A 21,659-nucleotide genomic window follows, 5' to 3' on the forward strand; every position below is an offset into this window, starting at 1 on the left:
TGTTATGTTTGTCAATAGTAGTGTGATTTTTGCATTTAAGCTTAGTTTCCTCTAAGTAATTCCATATTTAATGGATTTACTCATTGTTATTTCTGCTCCTAATTTCTCTTGACTATTTAACATTAAAGACAGCATGTTTCCCTCTACATTTTATCTTAATAATATTATAGGGAGCCACTGACTTGTCTGTATTCTCTAGAAGTTACATCTGGACCGTATGTCTGCTAGACGGCCAAATGGCCACAGTGAATCTCCTTGCTTTCCTTCTTGCTTCTGCTAATTGAACATTCTCTCCTGCTTTCTCTTTTTTACCTGTGCTGCAGCCTGAGACTCCTCACTTCTGTCCTCAGCTCTTGCTTCTCATCTTATCCTGAGCCGTAAGCATAAAGTGATAATTTTTTGATAAAGCTGAATCTAAAACTCTTCTTCCTACTTTTTTTCTTTTTGATAAATGTTCATTCCCCTTTGACATGAAGAATATACTAGGTCTTGGTAGTTTATTTTTTACTAAGTTCTTTCTTGGCCAAAAAAAAAAAAAAAAAGTTGGTGAGGCCCCCAGTTGGGAATTTTATTACTCAGGAAAGGCCTAACCTCAGTTTCTTGAGGGTTTCTCCTGCCCTAAGATTTTTTGATGCTAACAGAAAAGAAGACAAGTTCTTATTTGCCTTTATCTTGGTTATGTGTGCATAGATACGTAAAGTTAAATTTTCTACAAGATGTTAATGGAAAAAGGATAATTTCTAGACAAGAGCCACAATTATTCTAGGTCACTTGGGAGAACATTATGTAAACTGAAAGCTAAAACTGAGAGTTTTGAATGAGCCATTTCATTTACCATAACCGTTTTTAGGTGATATAATCATGGCTTCAGAGGAGAAAGTGCTTCCTATCTTTTTCTTACTTTATAGACGGAATGCTGCTGTAAACATTTGTATACAGGTTTCTGTGTGAACATAAATTTTGAAGTGCCCAGGAGTGCATTCATTGGGTCATATAGTACTTACATGTTTGGAGTTTTTTTGTTTGTTTATTTTAAGAAACAGACAAAATGTTTTCTAGAGTGGTGAAGGGTATTGGTAGTTTTGTTTTTACAGGCAGTGAACTTGATTAGCTCAGGGTAAGTGTCACTCCTATGGAGAGGGGCAGCTCCAATCTCCATTCAATCCTTAGAGCTTTAGCTGCAAAGCTTTTAGCCTCGCACAACCTGGAGACTGCCAGAGACTTGGGCTGAATTTAAACTCAGAATTTAAGGTTCTCAAATTCTCTAGGGCTCCTTTCCTTCACTCTCTGGTGACCATGGTTATGATCTCATTCTCCTTCTTGGTTCTTCCAGCCAGAATGTTAGTGGGCTTTGTTACTGGAATTTCAGCCACTACTGTGCCTCTACTGCAGTGTGGCCATCATCAGGACAAAACCATAGAAAACTGGGAATGCACTCTAAGCCAATTACTTACTACACATTTTTTACTCTCCTCCAATATATGCAAAGTTCAGTCTTCAGTGTTTTCAGGTAGTTGGTTTGTGTGTGTGTGTGTGTGTGTGTGTGTGTGTGTGTGTGTGTGTGTTGTCCAAAGTTTGTAACTGTTATTTGCAGAAGAATGGTTTGTTAGGTGCTCACTCCTCCACAATGGAATCTGAGCTCCTAAAGTCTAGTTTTTTGGTTTTTTTCTGGCTGAGTATGGTCAGGATGTGGTCCAAAATCACCCAACATATAAAGAACCCAGAAAATATGACCCAGTTATAAGAGAACAGACATCAACCCTAAGATGATTCAGACACTGAAATTATCAGACAAGGACTTTATCAGCTGCTATAACTATACCCAGTCTTTTATTAAAAGATAGCTGGGGAGGCAGGAAGGGAGTTAAGCTTTCCAGAGAGGATAGAATTAACCAGTAGGGTACTCCACCCATTGTCATGCTTTGTCAAATGCTTAACTTCTATGCCAAGTTTGAGAAATACTATGAAATTTTGTCAAAGAAAATACTGCCAAATTGCCTATGTTAACAAGTGACTCGTTTGGCAAAACTTGAGTAAATCTATCTTAAGTTATTTTTGGATGTACATTTCTATTTGTACGATACATCCTTGAGAACGCAGCAAAAAAAAGGCTATACCAAAGGTTTCCCCTCCCACCCTGGGCAATATTTAAGCATCAAAACATGGCCTGTAACTGCTTCTCAGTGATAAATATATTTTTTATTGTATGACAGGAAGATTTTAGAATCTTAAAATTAGTTTGCCTTGGTGCAATATGTAAATGTAACCATTCTTTATCTCCAACCCTATGCTGGATAACTGTACCACTTAGCTTCTCCAGCAGCCAAGCATTATGGCTAAGTAGTTAAAGCTACTGGGGCAAAAAGGCTTGTGTTCCAATCACAGCTACTCCGCCTGCCAAACTATACACAAATTATTTGATCTCTTCAAAGCAAATTTAAAAATCATAATTAAATACGTAATTCAGAAGATTTTGTGGCTTGCCAGGTGCAGTGGCGTGCACCTGTAGTCCCAGCTACTTCAGAGGCTGCAGCAGGAAGACTGCTTGAGTCCAGAAATTTGACTCCAGTCTGCTCAACGTTGCAAGACCTCCATCTCAAAATAAGCAGCTTTTGTGATTTCAGTTAAATAAGTAATACATGCAAATTGCTTAAATAATAGCTATTTTCAAGAAGATAGCTTCTGTTCTTCATGGTGTAGTGGCATAACACTAAATTTGTAGTTAAAGGATTTTTCCAAATCAGTTCATTTTTTCTTTTTTGAGATGAGTTCTTGCTGTGTTGCCCAGGCTGGTTTCAAACTCCTCCCTCTCAGCCTCCCTAGTAGTTGGGATTACAGGAGCACACCACCATGCACAGCACAGATCAGTTCATTTTAAATGTAGTGTTTGGGGAAAGAGTGAAAGGAGTGTGAGAAATCTTAATTAAATTGCTCACTGAAGTTATGCAGTTTCTATTTTGCATTAAAAAAGCATGTCCACAATTAAATATTTCTTCCCTTTAAAGAAATCAGAAAGATATATGCAAAAGGTACCTAATACAAAGTGAAAGACTTAGAAGACAGATAGTAGAAAAGTATTCATCTCATTCTACAAATTAACTTTGATAGAATTGAAATTACAGTAATTGTGGCAGTACTGGCAAAGGATTTTACCTTTTCTGAACAATATGTTTTATTGTAGCATTGAATCAGTAGAGATTGTGGGGATGGGTTATGTTAAACCACAACCCAATAAAGAACTTGGAAGTAATTAGGGTGTTTAATTTTATTTTTATATTGTTTATTTTCTTGCCACTTCCTTCAGAACTCTGGGATGGATCCCATTTTGCCCTGGAGTTGTTCCCACACTGGCAGTGGGTTTGCCTAGCACACTGTATCACACAGAACAGACAAGGCTCCTAGGATTTGTGTTTCTCTTGCTTTGCTAGATTTTCAGGAATGTTAATGAGGGTGAGAGAACCATAGATTTTATATGGCCGTAAGTTCTTTTAGATTAAATACAATATTCTATTTTTTTATCTTTTATCCTCAAACTTTTATGTACTATTCTTTTATGTTTATTCTTATCAAATATCTTTTTGTAATTTTTTTTTTGGTCCTGTTTTATACCTTAATCTTTTTCTGTCTCAGCCCTTTTTTCACTTTCTCCCTGATTCAGCTGTATCCAGTGCTTGACTTCACTATAACATCTTTTGTCTCAGTATATGTAGACTGGTAAGGAAATATTCAACCTCAGTTCCTCCTTTAACATTTCATTCTTAGTTCTCAAAAATCTAAGTGACAAATGAATCTTTATTTTCAGTTTTTTTCCTACTACTTACTTTTCCTTTTTCTGTAGTGAATTTTATCAAGCTAACATTTATACCTATTCCATAGTTTATATTCCCTCTACCAATCCATCCCATCCCACCTTGGCTTACTTCTTGGTTTACATTGATCCAAGTAAGGATTCTCGTTTCTGTTTTAAAAGCATATTTCTATTTAGCCTCATCCCGAAACGAAATAAAACATTGACTACACTCAGTTGCCTAAGCTAGCTAAAAATAAATATTCCTTTGCATGCAAGGATCGTAACTAAAGTTTAAAGGGAGTCTTTGATATGAACACTGGAGTTAAGTGAAATATGTATCATTGAAAACTAACCTTCTTTACTTAATAGAAGCCTTTTAAAGTTTAGGTTTCTTACATACATATGAGAGAATATACATCTTGTTAAAGAGTTTAGTCAGAATTATCTTTAAAAATTCCATAACTCAGCTGGGCGCGGTGGCTCACGCCTGTAATCCCAGCACTTTCGGAGGCCGAGGTGGGCAGATTGCCTGAGGTCAGGAGTTCGAAACCAGCCTGACCAACATGTTGAAACCTTGTCTCTACTAAATATACAAAAATTACTCGGGCATGGTGGCGAGCACCTGTAATCTCAGCTACTTGGGAGGCTGAGGCAGGAGAATTGCTTGAACCCAGGAGATGGAGGTTGCAGTGAGCCAAGATCACGCCACTGCACTCCAGCCAGGACAACAAAAGCGAGACTCTGTCTCAAAAAAGGAAAAAAAAATTCTGTAACTCAATTTTATTTTGCTGACTTTAATTGCTTAAAATTTTTAAGAAAAAATATGGTTTCAAATGACAATTTTTATTTCTTTTCTGTATCTTTCCAATTTTTTATAAAAGGAATAAAATAATTTCACTTTTAGTATCAACTATAACAAAAGCAGGTGTTAAGGAAAATGTACATTTCTTTCTTTGAGAGGTTGATATCTAACATATCCTAGAATGGGAAACAAAAACATTTTTGATTATTTTTGCATCAATAATAAAGCCTGATTTGGACTAATGAAATATTAACCACTTTTTTTTCTCCTCCTTAAATATCACTGCATATTCAACTGTCCCTTGAACATATATTTTTGATATAATACCCATCTAGGGAGAAGCTTAAATTGACTTACACTAAATCAAAATTCTCCCAATTCACATAGGAAATTTAAGGAAACATTTTACATCTTCCAACTGTTTCAGATGTGTTTATCTTAATGGATTTAGTTGAATGACTTACCCAGCGACATACTGGAAGTGTATATGAAAAGTATGATGTGTAAAACTCTTATTTCAGCATTCATTCCACAAGTTCAGCATTTCCAAACTAGTACTTGGAACAGTTTATGATGTTAAGTATTTTAAGTTTTAGTACCTCAAAATAAATTCATTTTTTGAATGATTTAATGCTTAAAATCTCCTAAAATATAATGTTCAAAATTCCCTTGCTTTCTTATTTGAAGTTACAACTTCATCTTCCTGCAGTACAGAGCCCACTTGGATTATATTTGAGAATAGAAAGAAAAATACAAGTTATCTTACTCTCTGAGATGCTCAACAAACTGATTAATCTTTATTAAGATAATGCATTGACAAAAAAGTCTGAGTTTCTGGGAAAGTGTTGAAGTTGCCATTGATTATACTAATCCTAAATCCTTTGAAAAATTAATGATTGTTTTCAGAAAGTTGTATCAGACTGCTATAATGGAAAATAGCATTAACATGTTATGCCCCATTCTAAATAAACCCGACTTCAAAATGTCTGTCAGAAAACCGTTTACTTTTTTTTTTTTTTTCCCCCAAGTAACATGTTAAGAGGTGCCTTTCTGAAGATTTTTCTTGGGTACCGGGAACTCAGAATTTTCATTTGAAATATACTAACAGCTTTATTTGGCATGAATGATAAAAGGTGCAGTGTATTGCCTAGTACAACCAGTAATACTTTTTTCAATAAGAATAAAAACAAAAATAATAGTAAGCAGAGCTGTGTTTCTAACCCCAAAGAAGCTGAAGACCTTAGTTTAGATACGTCATAGGAATTCCTTAAGGAGTCCTCCTTTACCTCCTGCCAATACACCAAAGGAATCTTTTCTTGATAAATTCACCCACACTAGTTATCAAATCCAAACATCACAGAAGTAAGTTAGCATCAATTATTTACCAAGCGAGACAAAGGTTTGTCATTTTTTTCCTATCTTTTCCTTCAGCCCTCTTCATCCCCATTAGTTTTTTAATACTTCTTTAATCTCAGAAGCAGTCATTCCTAGTTTATGTCAAAGTCAGGACTTTGGAATTTGGAGCACTATCTTTACCACTTTCTGTAACTATCTCCAGTTTTAGGCTAAAACTACAGGGCATTACTCTTTTTTTTGTTTTGTTTTTTGTTGTTTTGAGACAGTCTTGCTCTGTCGCCCAGGCTGGAGTGCAGTGGTACAATCTTGGCTCACTATAAGGAGGTCATTCCATTTAATATATAATCACTTATTTTATGATTTGTTTGACATATTAAATTATCAAATATAAGTATTTTCTTAATATACCTCTTCTCTGATTTTGTTGATATAGACTTAATAATAAAATCTTTTAAAAGTTTGTTTTCGTATTTGTAGTGTTCTGACTGGCTGGCTAGCTTTAAAATGTTGCCTTTCTTCCTAGTCCACACTAAAATCCATTGAGTGTTCTAATTGTACAAAACACCATAGAAAAACCTTGTCTACCACTTTTAAAAACAAACTGTGAATGTGAAAATATCTTCTGATGTGACTGCCTTATAATGCTCAATACAGCAGTTTTAATCCAGAAGAATATATGACCTGAATGTTTGTCAAACACATGATATGCAGCAACAAAATAATCTTTATTTTACTTCAGTCTGACAATATAATGTATAAAATCACAAATTGTTTGTATTGGCAAGATTTTATTTTACTAATTCTGAGATACTATAAAAATAATACTCTATATATTTAAAGTATTTATTTAGAAAAAACTGGGAAATAAATTGGAGAAGATATTAATTTTAAGAAAAACAAACTGAAATCAAGTCTTTGTCTTAGAGAACAAATAAGACTCTGAAGAAATTGAAAGAAATCTTTTGAAAAGCAAGAGTGAAGTACTTCAGTGATAAGACACAATGAAGTAAAATCTTCCATTTATAATAGCTACAATGACCTTAATTGAATAAAATCTAAATGTCACTAAAGACAGATATCCACTGGTTTGGATTTGAAATTTAAGAACTATACAATTTTGGATGAATTATAACTTATGATTCTGTATTAGGATTCTTCAAATCCTTTTCAGTTTATAAGCTTTAGAAAGTACACAACACTTTCTAGGTATGATGTAAAATTTTTTAAATATTTAAACCATAGAATACATTATTACAATATGTTCTTTAATGTTGATTTTTAAATGTCAGAATAGATGTAATACCAGTGTAAGCCACAGGGTGGGAGTGAAAGGCAAGAACTTGTGTTGAAGCAGCTTAAATACATAATTGCACCATCTTTATAAATCTTTTAAATGCTTGTTGAATTATAAGGAGCTGTAGCTTGGTTTTCTTTCTTCCTTTAATACAGCTGCATTCTTCAGCAAAGAATCTATAACAAAAGACAAACACGTTGATTTAAATATATAGGCCATTTTTACTGAATATCAAAAGAAGTAGACACATAGATTTTTTTCCCCCTAAGTTTCTGAGCGTATGAGGTGCTTGGTGAACAGAGCAGCAATTTTGATCAATAGTTGAATTTGAGAAATTTCTTGAATTACCAGTACCGGAAATAGTAATTGAAGTTACCAGAAATATTTCATCTCTTCAGACTTTCCTTCTTCATTTTCCTTTTTCCTTGATTTTTCTCATTTAAAGAAAAAAATCAATTGTATATTACATATAGGTCTATAAGCTGTCTCAAGTTATTTTTCAGTAGGGAAGGTAAATAAAATTTCCTTTGTGTTTTCTCTTTACTCGACCTCATTTGAATTTGGGAGCAATTTAAAGTAGTAATAGTAATCATTTTGTATGTTTAAGGTAAGAAGACAAGAGGTTTCTTCTCCTAGAAAAGAAACTTCAGCAAGGAGTCTTGGCAGTCCTTTGCTCCATGAAAGGTAGTTCTACATCCTTTTTTCTCAACTCTTAAAAATTATCAATACTGAAATATATTTTATATTTGTTTTTTTTAAGCTTTAACAATTGCAAAAAAAATAGCCTTTTAGAATAAGTGGAAGTGACCAACCCCAGAATCCTACATGTTAAAGATGACCTAAACAAGTCATGCAGTTAATAGCAGAGCTGAATCTAAAACTTGAATTCTGTAAAGCTCTACTATTTCAATAGACCAAGTGTTAAGGTCGTATTTCTTTATATGGATGGCTCCTAATGTGAACCTTACCAAAATGAGGAATATTTAATATTCTATTTAAGATATTTGCAGAGAACAAAAGTCAATGCATTGAAATTTCTAATGTGAGAATAAGACAGCCAACATTAGTGTATATATGAATAAGTAGATATGCTAGACTATACTATATTTATGTATTAAAACTTTTAATTTATCACTTACTTTGTGCCTGGCCCTCTACAAACACAAGCTGATTTTGGGGACATTGTTTAGGAATTTAAAATAATTTTTTTTTACTTTTAAATAATTATTTTGTGGCACATAAAATGGTACTACATAAGTTTGATTATTTAAAAAACTTGGAAGTTATAGCTTTACATTTTAAAATGTTGATTTTTTTTTTTAGGGGTAATATAGAGAAGACTTTCTGGGATCTGAAAGAAGAATTTCATAAAATATGCATGCTAGCAAAAGCACAGAAAGACCACTTAAGCAAACTTAATATACCAGACACTGCAACTGGTAAGATTTAATTTAATTTACAGTAATATTGATTTGCTTGATTGAAATTGATTTCCTTTTGAATGTGAAAATATTCCTGAATGCCTATTAAGTGTGTAGCATCTGTAATTTACCCCTCATCCACGTATGTTTGAATGTGTACATGCTGTGTAAGTTCTGTAATGTATTACATGTGTAATTGTTGGTTTTTTTCTCTTTGTTGTATATGGTACTATATAGATTAAATTGAAAGACATAATTACTAATTATCTTAATGAGACATCCCACCTTAAAAAAATACAAAATAAATACAGACTATATCCCTGAAAGTTTTCAGTTGTTTTTTGGGGGACCTTATTAAACATTAACTTTTATGTTAATAAGTGACCTTGAAGCCACACTACCATATTATATGAGCTAAGTAAAATTATAACATCAGGTTTGTTTGTAAATTCTGCCTGAAAGTGCATTACATACACTATGGATAGATGTTTTTTTAATGTTCTTTTTTTTTTAATTCAATACAGAATCTTGCTATGTTGCCCAGACTGGAGTGCAGTGGCTATTCACAGGCCTGATGGTGCACTACAGCCTTGAACTCCTGGGCTCAAGAATTCTTTGAACTCATTTGGTTCAAGAATAAAAACGTGGCACTCAAATTTCCTGAGTGCTAGTTGTGTTTAATGCACAAAATACACATTTAGTATAAAATATAATTTAGAAGGAACATTTGTTTTACATATGTGTTATAGTATGTTTTGTAAATGCTGTACCCTTTCCTAAAACCCCAGACTGGCTTCCTGGTGTTTGCTTCAGTAGTTCTATATGAATAGCAAAATCTAAGGGATTAGGTCTGGCAACCAAACACTTCTGCAAACAAAAGGAAGGTAAACTGATCATTTATAATGATAAATTCTCCTTTACCTTTGTGATTTGAGCTATTCTGCAGACAATTCCCAAAGGATGTGATTTACAGTTTTCACTCTGAGAGATGTTGCAGTCTTGCTGACTAACACCCTTTTAATTAAAGATCACTTTCCATTTCTTGCAGCTCTTACATCTAGGCTATTTAAAATCATTTTATAGTGTAAATTCACTTTTTGCTACTACTACCATTTTATTTTCAGAAAAGTTACACAATGTGGTATTACAGAAACAAAATAATCTTTGTAGACAGACATAATTTGGTTCTTTCTCTCCCTTCCCCCACCTCCCCAAAAACAACTCTTTTCTTCACCTTAATTTTTGTCATTTTCATGAGAAATTGATCTTTTGTATGGACTAAAGATAACTAGGTACCTCTGAAGTAAATGAATTATTTCTGTTTAAAATATGCTAGCTATGGAGATGTAGTACCTAGAATTCATAAACATGCTTTTTTGAACATCAACATCTTTTCAAGGCATTGTAATGGTGATATATTCTTTGTTACACAGAAAACTTATCTCATTATCAATGGCTTAATACTTTGACCATTTTTAAATTGCACAGGTCTAAATCTGAGTATGTGTCTGTCAGCTAGAACACTGAGTATTTAACTTCAATTTCTTCTCCACTAAAACTGCTTCCTGATGCCTTATTTTTATGCTTTATATTAACAGTGTCACAAATAATAAGTACATTATTCTCAAAATATTTTGTGCTACAGACTCTAGTGAAGTTTTGCTGGGGTCCAAAGAGAAACCAAAATAAATATTATACTCTGACAGTGGTATATCAAAAGGAGAAAGGAAAAAATATTTTTTGAAAAGATGCCTATTCAGGGTTTCCAAGTATGTATGCTACACTGTATAAAAATATAGAAGAACTATTTTGAATATGATTTGCACAATATATCTGGGAAGAGTACGTGTATTGTCCCTATGTTATTTTGTATTAAAATTTGATTTTTACTTTTAAATAACCAGATATGATTCATTTGAAAATACTGAGTTAGTAGAATTCTACATTTCCTATTTATTATTACTTTGTTTTTTCTACTCATCTACATATGGCAGTAGACTTAAGAAATGATAAAGATAAAATGTATGTTTATCCATAGCTTCAAATAAAGTACTGTTTGGTTCATAAAGGAGTGTCCAATTTCAGTAGAGATTGGGAAGGAAGAATATAGGATTAAGGGTAACAAACATCCATGAGAAGGGTAATAAACAACCATGAGGTCTTTTTCTTTTGTCAATATACAACGTGATTATACTGAGAAGTAACTAAATGGATAGCCTGTATTTAAAACTGGGAAATCTAAAAATATTTCCCATTTTACTTTTTCCTTGCAAAGCTAAGTAGTCTTAAAATAGACAAAATAGAAAAGCTATTTGCTCACCTGATCATGTTTCTCAATATGGTGTCAGGATGACAAGTGCTTTCATGCATCTCATTTGAGTTTTAAGTTGTCTCAGCTTAGATTTCTAGTAGCATTAGGAATGTAAGGTTTAAATTTTTTTAATAGATATTAACTCTCACTGCTTGAGCAGATTAACTCAGATTATTTTAATGTGGCTGAGTTTTATGCCAGCTAGCTTTGCTGAAAGAAAATATCTGTTTTTTTAGAGCTGTTTGATTTCTCCTCGTTTTGTTCACAGCGGGGATAGATCAACTGCTAGAAAAATAATTCAAAGCACATTTCTGTCAATTTGGGGACTTCTCTCTATATATAGAAACCAACATGTTCAATTTAGCCTAATGGTTCAGAGCACAAATCTACAGTTAGGTTGCCTGGGTTCCAGTGGCAGATCTACCACTTACTATAATAGTTGTGTGGCCTTTGAATTAACCTCTCCAACCAGTTTCTTCACATGTAAAGTGGGGATAATAATAGTGCCTGCCTCAGGATTACTTTGAGTATTATATGAATTAATGTACATACAATTATTATAATAGTACATGCCATGTGGAAGTGCTATTAATGTTAATAGTCATTTCCATTAGCAGCAGCAGCAGCAGATTCTCCAGCATTCACCTTGTTCTCCTTGTGAAGATCATTTGATAAGTCTCTCCTCTTCGGGTGTTACAGAATCTGATTACCTCAACAGTTGGTTTTCCTGATTTGTTATTTGCAAGTAGCAAATGTCATCTACAAAGACAGTACTGTTTCCTAGACTTTCCTACCACTTTCAAGTCTACTGCCAGGGAAAATGACTACTCGAGAGTTAATGGACTTTAAGAACCTCAGAGGCTAAAGAAATCCAGATAAACAATTAAGCTTGGTGACAATTACTATAGCACTCCTAGTCATAGAGTATCTGGTAAATGTTGATTATTATAGTAGGCTTTGTAGGGGAGAGATTACAGATTCATTCAGAATTCATTTGTTAGGGGCATACTATGTGCCAGACACTGGGCAAGGGTCTGGAGTTAGAAGGAAACAAAACAGTTTAAGACCTCAAAAAACCTACTTTAGTGGGAAGAAACAGAGTTATACTTGGAAATACAGTCATGTGCCAAATGACATTTTCAGTCAACAACAGATTGCATATACAATGATGGCCCCATAAGATTATAATGGTACTTAAAAGTTCATATCAGCCCAGGCACAGTGGCTCATGCCTGTAATACCAGCACTTTGGGAGGCTGAGCTGGGCAGATCACCTGAGGTTGGGAGTTCGAGACCACCCTGACCAACATGGAGAAACCCCGTCTCTACTAAAAATACAAAATTAGCCGGGCGTGGTGACGCATGCCCGTAATCCCAGCTACTCGGGAGGCTGAGGCAGGAGAATCACTTGAACCTGGGAGGCAGAGGTTGCGGTGAGCCAAGATCATGCCATTGCACTCTATCCAGCCTGGGCAACAAGAGCGAAGCTCGGTCTCAAAAAAAAAAAAGTTAATATCACCCTAGTGACATTGTAGGTAGCTGTTGTTACATTGTAGCACATTTTGTTTTTTTTGTAAATTTAGTGTAACCTAAGTGTATAGTGTTCATAAAGTCTACAGTGATGTACAGTAATATCCTAGGCCTTCACATTCACTCACCATTAACTCACTGACTCACCCAGAGCAACCTCCGGTCCTGCAAATTCCATTCACGGTAAGTGCTCTATACAGGCATACCCATTTTTTATCTTTTATGCCATATTTTTACTGTACCTTTTCAGTGTTTAAATACACACATACCATTGTGTTACCTGCAGTATTCAGTACAGTAACATGTTGTATAGGTTTGTAGCCTAAGAACAATAGGCTATACCATATAATGTAGGTGTGTAGTAGACTATACTGTCTAGCTTTCTGTAAGTACACTCTATGATGTTTGCACAATGACAAAATTGCCTAAGACTGCATTTCTCAAAATGTTCCGTCGTTAAGTGACACATAACTATATAACAGTGTGTTTCAGTTCTCAGGGCATCCAAGAGTCATGGGAGAGTCATCCAGAGAAACTTATGTCCAAGCCAAGATATGAAGGACAAATAAGAGTTGGGCAAAGAGTAATGGGAGGGGACACTTCAGGCAGTCTGCACAGCAGGTGCAAAGGTGCAAAGACAAGAGAGTGTAGCTATTTTGGAGAACTATACAAAGTTCATTATAGCCAGAGTATGGAGTGAAAGATGAGCATGGAGAGATGACCAGGGGCCAGTCATGAACAGTCTAATAAGCCTTTTCTGAGATCTGAGGGGCTTGTAGAGCCATCAAAAGATTTTATTAGGAAGGTAACTTGGTCAGATTAGTATTTTAGAAAAACTACTCTGAGAATGAAGGGATGGAGGGGAAGTTGCAGTGAAGAGAACAGATTGGATATGAGACAAATTCAGAGGCAAGGAAGCAGTTTAAAGGCTGTTATAATAATCCAATAAGAAAGGATGGTATGAAGAGAGGTATAAAGAGAGGCAGTAGGTATATAACAAAATGAACCAAAGAAGTTGGTTGCATTTTACTACACATACCCAAACAGAAAAAAATATATTGGAATGTGCTGTGGCAAAAGACAGAGAGGTGTCATGAGACTGCCAAGACCAAAGGAATATAAAGGAACTGACATTTGTTAAGTGCCTACTAACCTGTACAGATACTTTGTATACCTTGTGTTCTGTATACCCTGTCTACCTAGATTTGCATCATTGGTAATGTCTCCATTTGTGAATGTTCAACAGTGCTGATGACAATCCTTAAAATACATACATTACCAACTTCAGTGCCTTCTTTAAGGGACATTGTGGAGCTTAATTTGGCTTTTTCTAGTGTCTCAGAATCATCAACATGGAGAGTACTTTGATGATTGTTTTTTTGTATTGAGCACTCATTGGCCCTATACTAGACTGTAGTGTTTTCTAAGTTCTTATATCAGCTTCTTTGTCTTTCTTATCTCTTCCTATGCTTTTAGCTCTTGTTGATATCTATGTCTGCCTTTAGCAACTCATACTCCCTTTTAATTTGCTGTTTCAAACCAGCTATGAGCTGTGGAAATACCACCAAGTTTGTTAGAATAAATCTAAAATGACAATAGGAACAAAATTCATCTATCTATGAACCTTGTGGCTCTAATTCTGGCTCCTCAGAAGCTCTGTTTTCTTTCTAGCTTTTGACTGTGTCCTACAAAGCTGAATTTGTTGGATAAGTGGTTCTAGATAAATGAGCTACAGAGGCCCTTTTGTCTACCAGATATTTACCTGTTTTTTACAGAGGTCTTTTTTAAAAAAAGATATAAGATGATAAAATAATCTATTCATCCACAGTTTTCTTAACATGCATCACAATATTTCATCCTTCCTTTGCCTTCACTGTCTTCTTTTTCCCAACTCCTGCAACCACCAGTCCCTCACATGGATTATTGAGAGCAGACAGTGGCTAAACTGATTAGTGATATACTTAGTTAGACAGTGACATTAATAATAAATGACCTAATTTTAGATATACCTAGTAAGATTTTCCCTTTTAACAACTTATTTGTCTAAGCAAACTCACAGTTATAGCTTCCGTTACTGACAAAATGTTTAAATGTATACACTACAAGCAAATGTTTTTCAAGTGTGGAGCAGTGTAACTGTGAACAAGATGCAAAGCTTACGGCAGAAGACTTAGGAAAAGACAAAGTAGTTAAATTGCGACTAATAAGCTATGTTTCAGTTCACCCGCTGGAGACTGCTAATATTCTGTGTAAGATGGTAGCAAATTTTAAAATCCCAGTTGTCTTCATTTGCTATAAAAACCAATAGAAAAAATAATAATAATCTCTCCAAAGCTGATTGAACAGATTTTTTTAATGATTTGAATGCGGCTGTTTCTCTTTTGTGTTCTTCTCCCTCCAGAAACACAGTGCTCTGTGCCTATACAGTGTACGGATAAAACAGATAAACAAGAAGCGCTGTTTAAGCCTCAGGCTAAAGATGATATAAATAGAGGTGCACCATCCATCACATCTGTCACACCAAGAGGACTGTGCAGAGATGAGGAAGACACCTCTTTTGAATCACTTTCTAAATTCAATGTCAAGTTTCCACCTATGGACAATGACTCAACTTTCTTACATAGCACTCCAGAGAGACCCGGCATCCTTAGTCCTGCCACGTCTGAGGCAGTGTGCCAAGAGAAATTTAATATGGAGTTCAGAGACAACCCAGGGAACTTTGTTAAAACAGAAGAAACTTTATTTGAAATTCAGGGAATTGACCCCATAGCTTCAGCTATACAAAACCTTAAAACAACTGACAAAACAAAGCCCTCAAATCTCGTAAACACTTGTATCAGGACAACTCTGGATAGAGCTGCGTGTTTGCCACCTGGAGACCATAATGCATTATATGTAAATAGCTTCCCACTTCTGGACCCATCTGATGCACCTTTTCCCTCACTCGATTCCCCGGGAAAAGCAATCCGAGGACCACAGCAGGTAACTGTTTTGCATTAACAAATATATTATTATGTGTGAACACACATTTTGCCATACATGCACAGATATGCATCTCTTTTACGTTATCAAACATCCTTTTTAAACTACTGACAGCCAAAGTTAAGGCTTTCAAAAAAACAAGTCCCATAATAAATGACATGAAATTAGAAAAGCTGAATATGGTAAAACTTTATTGGAAAGTACCTTAGAATTTATGTCAGATTTAAAAATACATGTTAAGCCTTATCCATATCTGTCGTGGTGTCACTTTCTTAGTTCCTTATTCAAAGCTTGTTTACTCAGGATTAATAAGAATATTAAATTTCATAGTGTGAAACAAATGCTGTTTTATTTAATAGTTTGTGTATATCATATTCATCTTTATAAGAATTCAAGATCTTTCATAAGTAAATAATTGCATCTTACATTTCTATTTATCAAAATAAGTGAACTATCTTTCAGTGAATACTTCTACTACATCTTCAGTTATATAGTACACAGATCTGTAGGGTTTAGTTTGGTTTTGGTTGCTAATCTGGAAATGAACATGTAGCCTAGTATATTTTTTAAATAGTCTCTGCATGTGTATGATATCAAATATTTTATTTAATGTTTCTAAAGCTCACAGACTAATATCCCCCAAACCACTCCTGCCCTCCCTTTTAGATTCAAATTCTATCACAGAATGATTCTTTTAGTTAAAAAAAAGTTTAATGTCTGAAAGCAAATGAAAACTATATAATTTTTACAAAAAACAGAAGCTTATGAAAATACAGATTGATGTAAATGTCTATGTAACTTGCAAACATTTGTCTGATTTCTCTTTGCCTTGAGATATTTAATTTTTTTAAAAAAGTTATTAATACCCTTTTGCTTTAAGTACACATATAGGTTATAGACTTAAATCAGCACGCAAAGAAGGCAGTTGTCAAGCTGTGGTATATTTTAGTAGTGGGAAGAACTAGGCATGGCTGACAATAAGTTTTAATTATAACCTCACTTATGTTCTTGTTCATTGTACTTTATTTCACATCATAGTCTCAGTTATAGTTGCTACTAAATGAAACAAATTAAACAATTTCATTTATTGCAAGTAGAATTCCTGTGGAGCTGTGAAGTGCATCAGTTCTAATGCTTGTTACTTTTTTCTCTATTATATGTCTTGCTTGTTCTTTTACTAGTCTGTGCATTCATGTTTCAGTAGATGGCACCCTGCATTGTACATTTGCTTTCTATACTACAGCAAGGGAAACAGCTGGTATGTGATTACAACTTGATGGAAAAGTATTCAGCTTAAAAAATTCAGGAGAATTAGTGTTGAGTTGTCACAAGACATGGGGCATAAGGTTAGATAATTGATATTTTGGCAGAAAAAGCAAAGAAATTAGTTTGTTTTGAAGACCATGTTACAGTTTAGGATGGAAAGAATATTTCTTAAAATGAGTTTTTTAAAAAAAACCTTTTAAGCTATTTTATTAGTATTAATAAAGCTAGTATTATGCAAGCTAGTATAAGTACAAAGCTAGTATAAGTACAAAATTCCTGAGTTGGGCCAGGTACGGTGGTTCATGCCTATAATCCCAGCACTTTGGGAGGCTGAGGCAGGAGGATTGATTAAGCCTAGGAATTTGAGACCAGCCTGGGCAACATAGTAAGACCTTGTCTCTACAAATACGTATAGTTATATAGATATATGTAGCTGGGTGTGGTGGCTTGTGCCTGTGGCCTCCAGCTACTTGGGAAGCTGAGGTGGGAGGATTGCTTGAGCTAGGTAGTTCGAGGTTGCAGTGAGCTGTGATGGTGCCATCACACTCCAGCCTGGGTGACAGAGCAAGACCCTGTCTCAAAATAATAATAATAATTTTTTTTTTAAAAAAATCCTGAGTTGTTTGTAGATAGTAGCAAAGACAAGTGAAATTTTTGGCTACATATTTCAAAATTTTACTTTCTATCAATCATTACTACTAAACATCTATTTTATATATTCAGCTATCATAACCAAGACTAAAGTATATCAGATTATTATTGTTCTATGTGATTTTCTTTTTTACTTTGCTGAGTCAGTGAGTGGGATCCCAACTAAATTCTATGAAGAGATCAAATCTGAACTAAAAGTTCTTAATAGAGAAAAATGAATATGGATTTAATAGGTAAATTGGGAGTAGAAGATTGGCTTACCAAATTTAGAAGCTAAATTGCTTCTGATTTAATTTCTTACTATTTTATATAAATAAGAATTATCTTTAATAATCTTTTATTTTTGGCCATATCAATTTCCCATTACAGTGATTTGTACTTTTTTGTTTAAACTGAAAACATTAAAATTAGAATCAAGTTAACTCTAACTAGATTTTTGTTTGTATGCTCACAATTTTTACTACTTTTATCAAAGAAGTTTTTCCAGAGAGTTATTTTACCCTAAATTTTATAACATTTATTTTAAATATTACTATTTTTGTAATAAAATTGACATTTCTTATGAAAGGAATTGAGTCAGCATTATTATAAGTCCTCCATACTGATATTTGAATGTGTCTGGGTGCCTAGACAGACGTTGTATATTTACACCAATTGTACACAGCTGTCCAGTAAACTGTTCATAAGAAGACAGTGATGTCGTGAAATCCAAGTGCTTCCATTAGTAATATACTGTTTATGTAAATGATTGGTTAACCAGAATGAAAGAAGTTAGGGGAAATAACAGTAACACTTGTCAGGTGCTAGACTAGGATGTGTGACTTTAAAAACATATTAGTAATAGGAGGATAAGGGGTCTCTTTAAATTTGACTTTATGAGATGATTCTTCTTAAAATATCAGAATTTAGCTGTGTCAGAGGAATTTACCTGTGTCCACATAAGAAATTTTAAAAAATAATTTGGTTTACACAATTCAGGAAAATATTTTCCAGTTAACAGACATCTATTGTGTAGCTATTATTAAGCTAAATGCTATTTCTTGTCCTTCTAGAAATTTAAAAAAAAGAATAAATGCAGTTATGAAAGGGTATTTATGTGCTGGTTATAGTGGAGGTGGTTCTGTTAGATTATGACTTTCCATAATTCTTTAACCAGGCAACTATTGACGAGTTTCACTTTATTCAGCCACAAGAATGAGTAAGGCCAAACTACCTATTATATAACAGAAGCAAAGTAAGAAGTCAAAACACTGCATGTGTTAGATTTTGTTGAATGATTAAATATTTGTGTTTTTAAAAACAAAAGATAACATCAGTGAAATTTGTTCAGTAGTTTAAAAGGAAAATTTTCTTTTTAAAAATCAAAATAATGCTGATTCATGTATGATGTATTCACTGTATTTGCTTATAAACAGTAGTGAAATTGATTTTGATTAAGACGCAATGCACACACACATCATGTCTTGTGTACTATGTAATTAATAAAGCCCCTATAATTTAAGGTTTTTATTGTAAAAAACAAAAGATAGAATTTAATTTAAAAGACCAGAGTATTAGCTATTGTTCCAAAACTACTGCTGTTGTGATCGAGTATTAAAAATTGCATGCTAAAGCTGCAATCTTTTTAAATATATAAAGATAAAATGCATGACTGTGTGTGTCCCAAGTGACTTTTAATCAAAGTTTAGTTGTGCCCTTTATGAAACCACGAATTGAGTCATGTCATGCTAACTTTACGGAAAAGTAATTTGCTTTTATATTAGGGAATTCAATATATATGCCCATGCGTAACTCATTCAGAAATTCAAATTTGAAGTCCAGTGCTATTTGAATTTAAACATAAGTAACAGATATTTTTGTTTGTTTCCTGCAGCCCATTTGGAAGCCCTTTCCTAATCAAGACAGTGACTCGGTGGTACTAAGTGGCACAGACTCAGAACTGCATATACCTCGAGTATGTGAATTCTGTCAAGCAGTTTTCCCACCATCCATTACATCCAGGGGGGATTTCCTTCGGCATCTTAATTCACACTTCAATGGAGAGACTTAAGACACATTTGAAAACAGACATATCAAGTTCTATGTGATGATTTTGGGTTTTTAATACTATAAATACTTGATTGTAAACTAAATTCAAGATCATTTATAGGAAAATCTAGTTTCACAGCTATTTGAATTTTTTTCTGGATTTACTATATAACTCTTATTTTTTAAAAGATCATTCTGTTCTTTCAAGGAGAAATAAGCCTAAAAGAAGAAAAACAAAAAAAATTCTGTATAAAACTGTAATCCTTTGTATTCATGTTTACAGTGCTATTACTATAATTCAAAATTATGTATGTGACTTAGAGTTATATAATCATAATTTATGTTTATTTCAAATATCTAAGTTTATTGCTTGGATTTCTAGTGAGAGCTGTTGAATTTGGTGATGTCAAATGTTTCTAGGGTTTTTTTAGTTTGTTTTTATTGAAAAATTTAATTATTTATGCTATAGGTGATATTCTCTTTGAATAAACCTATAATAGAAAATAGCAGACAACATAAACATCTTTGTAAATATCAAACCTAATACATTTCTTGTCCAGTGATAAAACAACTGGTAGAATTATTTAAACACTTTAGATTTTTAAATAATATACATGGCTTTAATTTTTACTGTGTGTATAGCTACATGATGAAATTAATTAAATATTAAGAGGTACTTATGTTGTGATCATTTGTATGTCCTTTGTTCCTGAGTAAAAAAAAAAAAAAAAAAAGGGAAGGAAGGAATCACATTTTTAGGGAAGTTTATAAAATTCATGTTTTCATTTCAGTAACCTAATAGAATGGTGATGACCAGATTTGGTGGCATTTATTACAATTAGTGAATCACTTTGAATTTTAGAATTATTCTTCAAACTAAACTTTCTAAAGAAACATTTGTTTTTAACGGGAGAAAATCTAAAACCCTGCAAGGACTATCTATATTTGTTAACTTAGATTAGAAATGTTCATATTCTTGTTGAGAAATTTGTTATTCATTGTTAGCAGCCTGATTGATGGCCACTGAAGACATTTGAGAGAGTGGATACCAAATTCAGACGGCTGCAAAATTTGTTTAAAATGAGACTTCCCTTTCATTTTTATTCCCTATGATTCTCGCCTTATAGGTTTCTGTTTTCCCCTGATTCTTAAAAGTGTTTAAGGCATGGCTTCCATTTTATGAAGTAAGCATTGATTTGCAACTCTCAGAAATTTAAGCCTTCTTGAAGCAAGTGCTTTAAACTAGAGGGTGTGGGATGGGGGAATTTGAGCAGGCCTCTGTGCCACAGTGAAGAACCTTAACTTGTGGAAGAATGAGAGTGGTGCCTCGACTTCTCCTGGTGCCAAGCACATCATATTGACATGTTCCTCACCAGGGTGACAGTAATTATTAGGTATTCACTGCGAAGGGTTCTGAGGTATGTACATCTTTCTTTCATTGCCACTAGGGCTGAATGGAAATGCCTAGACAATTATCCAAGTTTCTTCCCTTCCCCCCACTTCCCGCCCACCCAGCCTCCCTTCTCCGCGCGCGCGCACACACACACACACACACACACACACACACACACACACACACAAAATTAAAAATAAAAACTTCCCAGCGTGTACCAGCCAGAATATACCACTGTACCTATCTGGTGAAAGGGGATTCTTTTTTTCCCCTGTCCTTTTCTAGATGGGAAGACTTTCTCTCAACACAGTTGACATCTACTAGCTTGCTGACAACCAGAGGAAACTCCGTGTCCCAGAAGGTGACTCAAATTAAAGTGTACCATTGACCTTCCTCCCCAGCCCATCCTTTCCCCGCCCCCACCACTTTTAGCAGGACTAGCAAACTCGGTTTTCTTCTGGATTCCAGCGGCACCCTAAGCTCCACGTGGTGAGGGACATAGACCCTTTGGGGCCACAGGAAAGGCAGCCTGGAGAGCAGCCCCCTGCCCTGCTCTACAGAGGGAGCGCGGGTCACCGCTCTAAAGGTGGAGTGGGCACCCGCCAGGTCTCTCCCTCTGTCTCATGACTGAGTCGTGCAGGGTCTGGCTTTTGGCATCTGCTAAGCGTGGCCGGGTAAGAACAGCTCCCAGGTAAAAAAGCTGCACACGCGAAACGCCGAGTCTGAAAAAACCACCCCCGCCGAGGCGAGGCAGTTGTGAGCGGGATGCCTGAGAAGTGGGAGGTGAATGTCCTCGGGAGGGCCCCCCCGGTGCAGCTTTCCCCGGAGGCTGAGG

The 21,659-nt window shown here is 34.6% G+C and overlaps 1 protein-coding gene and 1 long non-coding RNA gene across 13 annotated transcripts in view, besides 1 other annotated feature; one reads left to right on the forward strand and one right to left on the reverse strand.

The window, feature by feature from the left end:
* Positions 1–20,165, forward strand: part of TANK (TRAF family member associated NFKB activator) — a 99,268-nt gene extending 79,103 nt beyond the window's left edge. For all 12 annotated transcript variants that reach the window (XM_047441820.1, NM_004180.3, XM_047441804.1 and 9 more), the window contains 4 exons: positions 7,850–7,926; positions 8,566–8,681; positions 14,906–15,486; positions 19,277–20,165. In XM_047441820.1, coding sequence (XP_047297776.1) covers positions 7,850–7,926; positions 8,566–8,681; positions 14,906–15,486; positions 19,277–19,453 — 951 coding nt within the window. In that variant the 3' untranslated portion in view covers positions 19,454–20,165. The remainder of the gene's footprint in view (positions 1–7,849; positions 7,927–8,565; positions 8,682–14,905; positions 15,487–19,276) is intronic.
* PSMD14-DT (PSMD14 divergent transcript) overlaps positions 7,193–21,659 on the reverse strand; it is a 31,386-nt gene continuing 16,919 nt past the window's right edge. The window contains exon 4 of the long non-coding RNA NR_110593.1: positions 7,193–7,418. This is a non-coding gene — a long non-coding RNA (PSMD14 divergent transcript). The remainder of the gene's footprint in view (positions 7,419–21,659) is intronic.
* Positions 18,052–18,121: a silencer, noted in NCBI's record as "silent region_12054". NCBI's record gives its function as "represses an Ori minimal core promoter by ATAC-STARR-seq in GM12878 lymphoblastoid cells {active_cell/tissue: GM12878}" and the evidence as "EXISTENCE:reporter gene assay evidence [ECO:0000049][PMID:35858748]".

This window comes from Homo sapiens, chromosome 2 (assembly GCF_000001405.40).
Source record: "Homo sapiens chromosome 2, GRCh38.p14 Primary Assembly".
In the NCBI taxonomy this organism is placed as follows: Eukaryota; Metazoa; Chordata; class Mammalia; order Primates; family Hominidae; genus Homo; species Homo sapiens.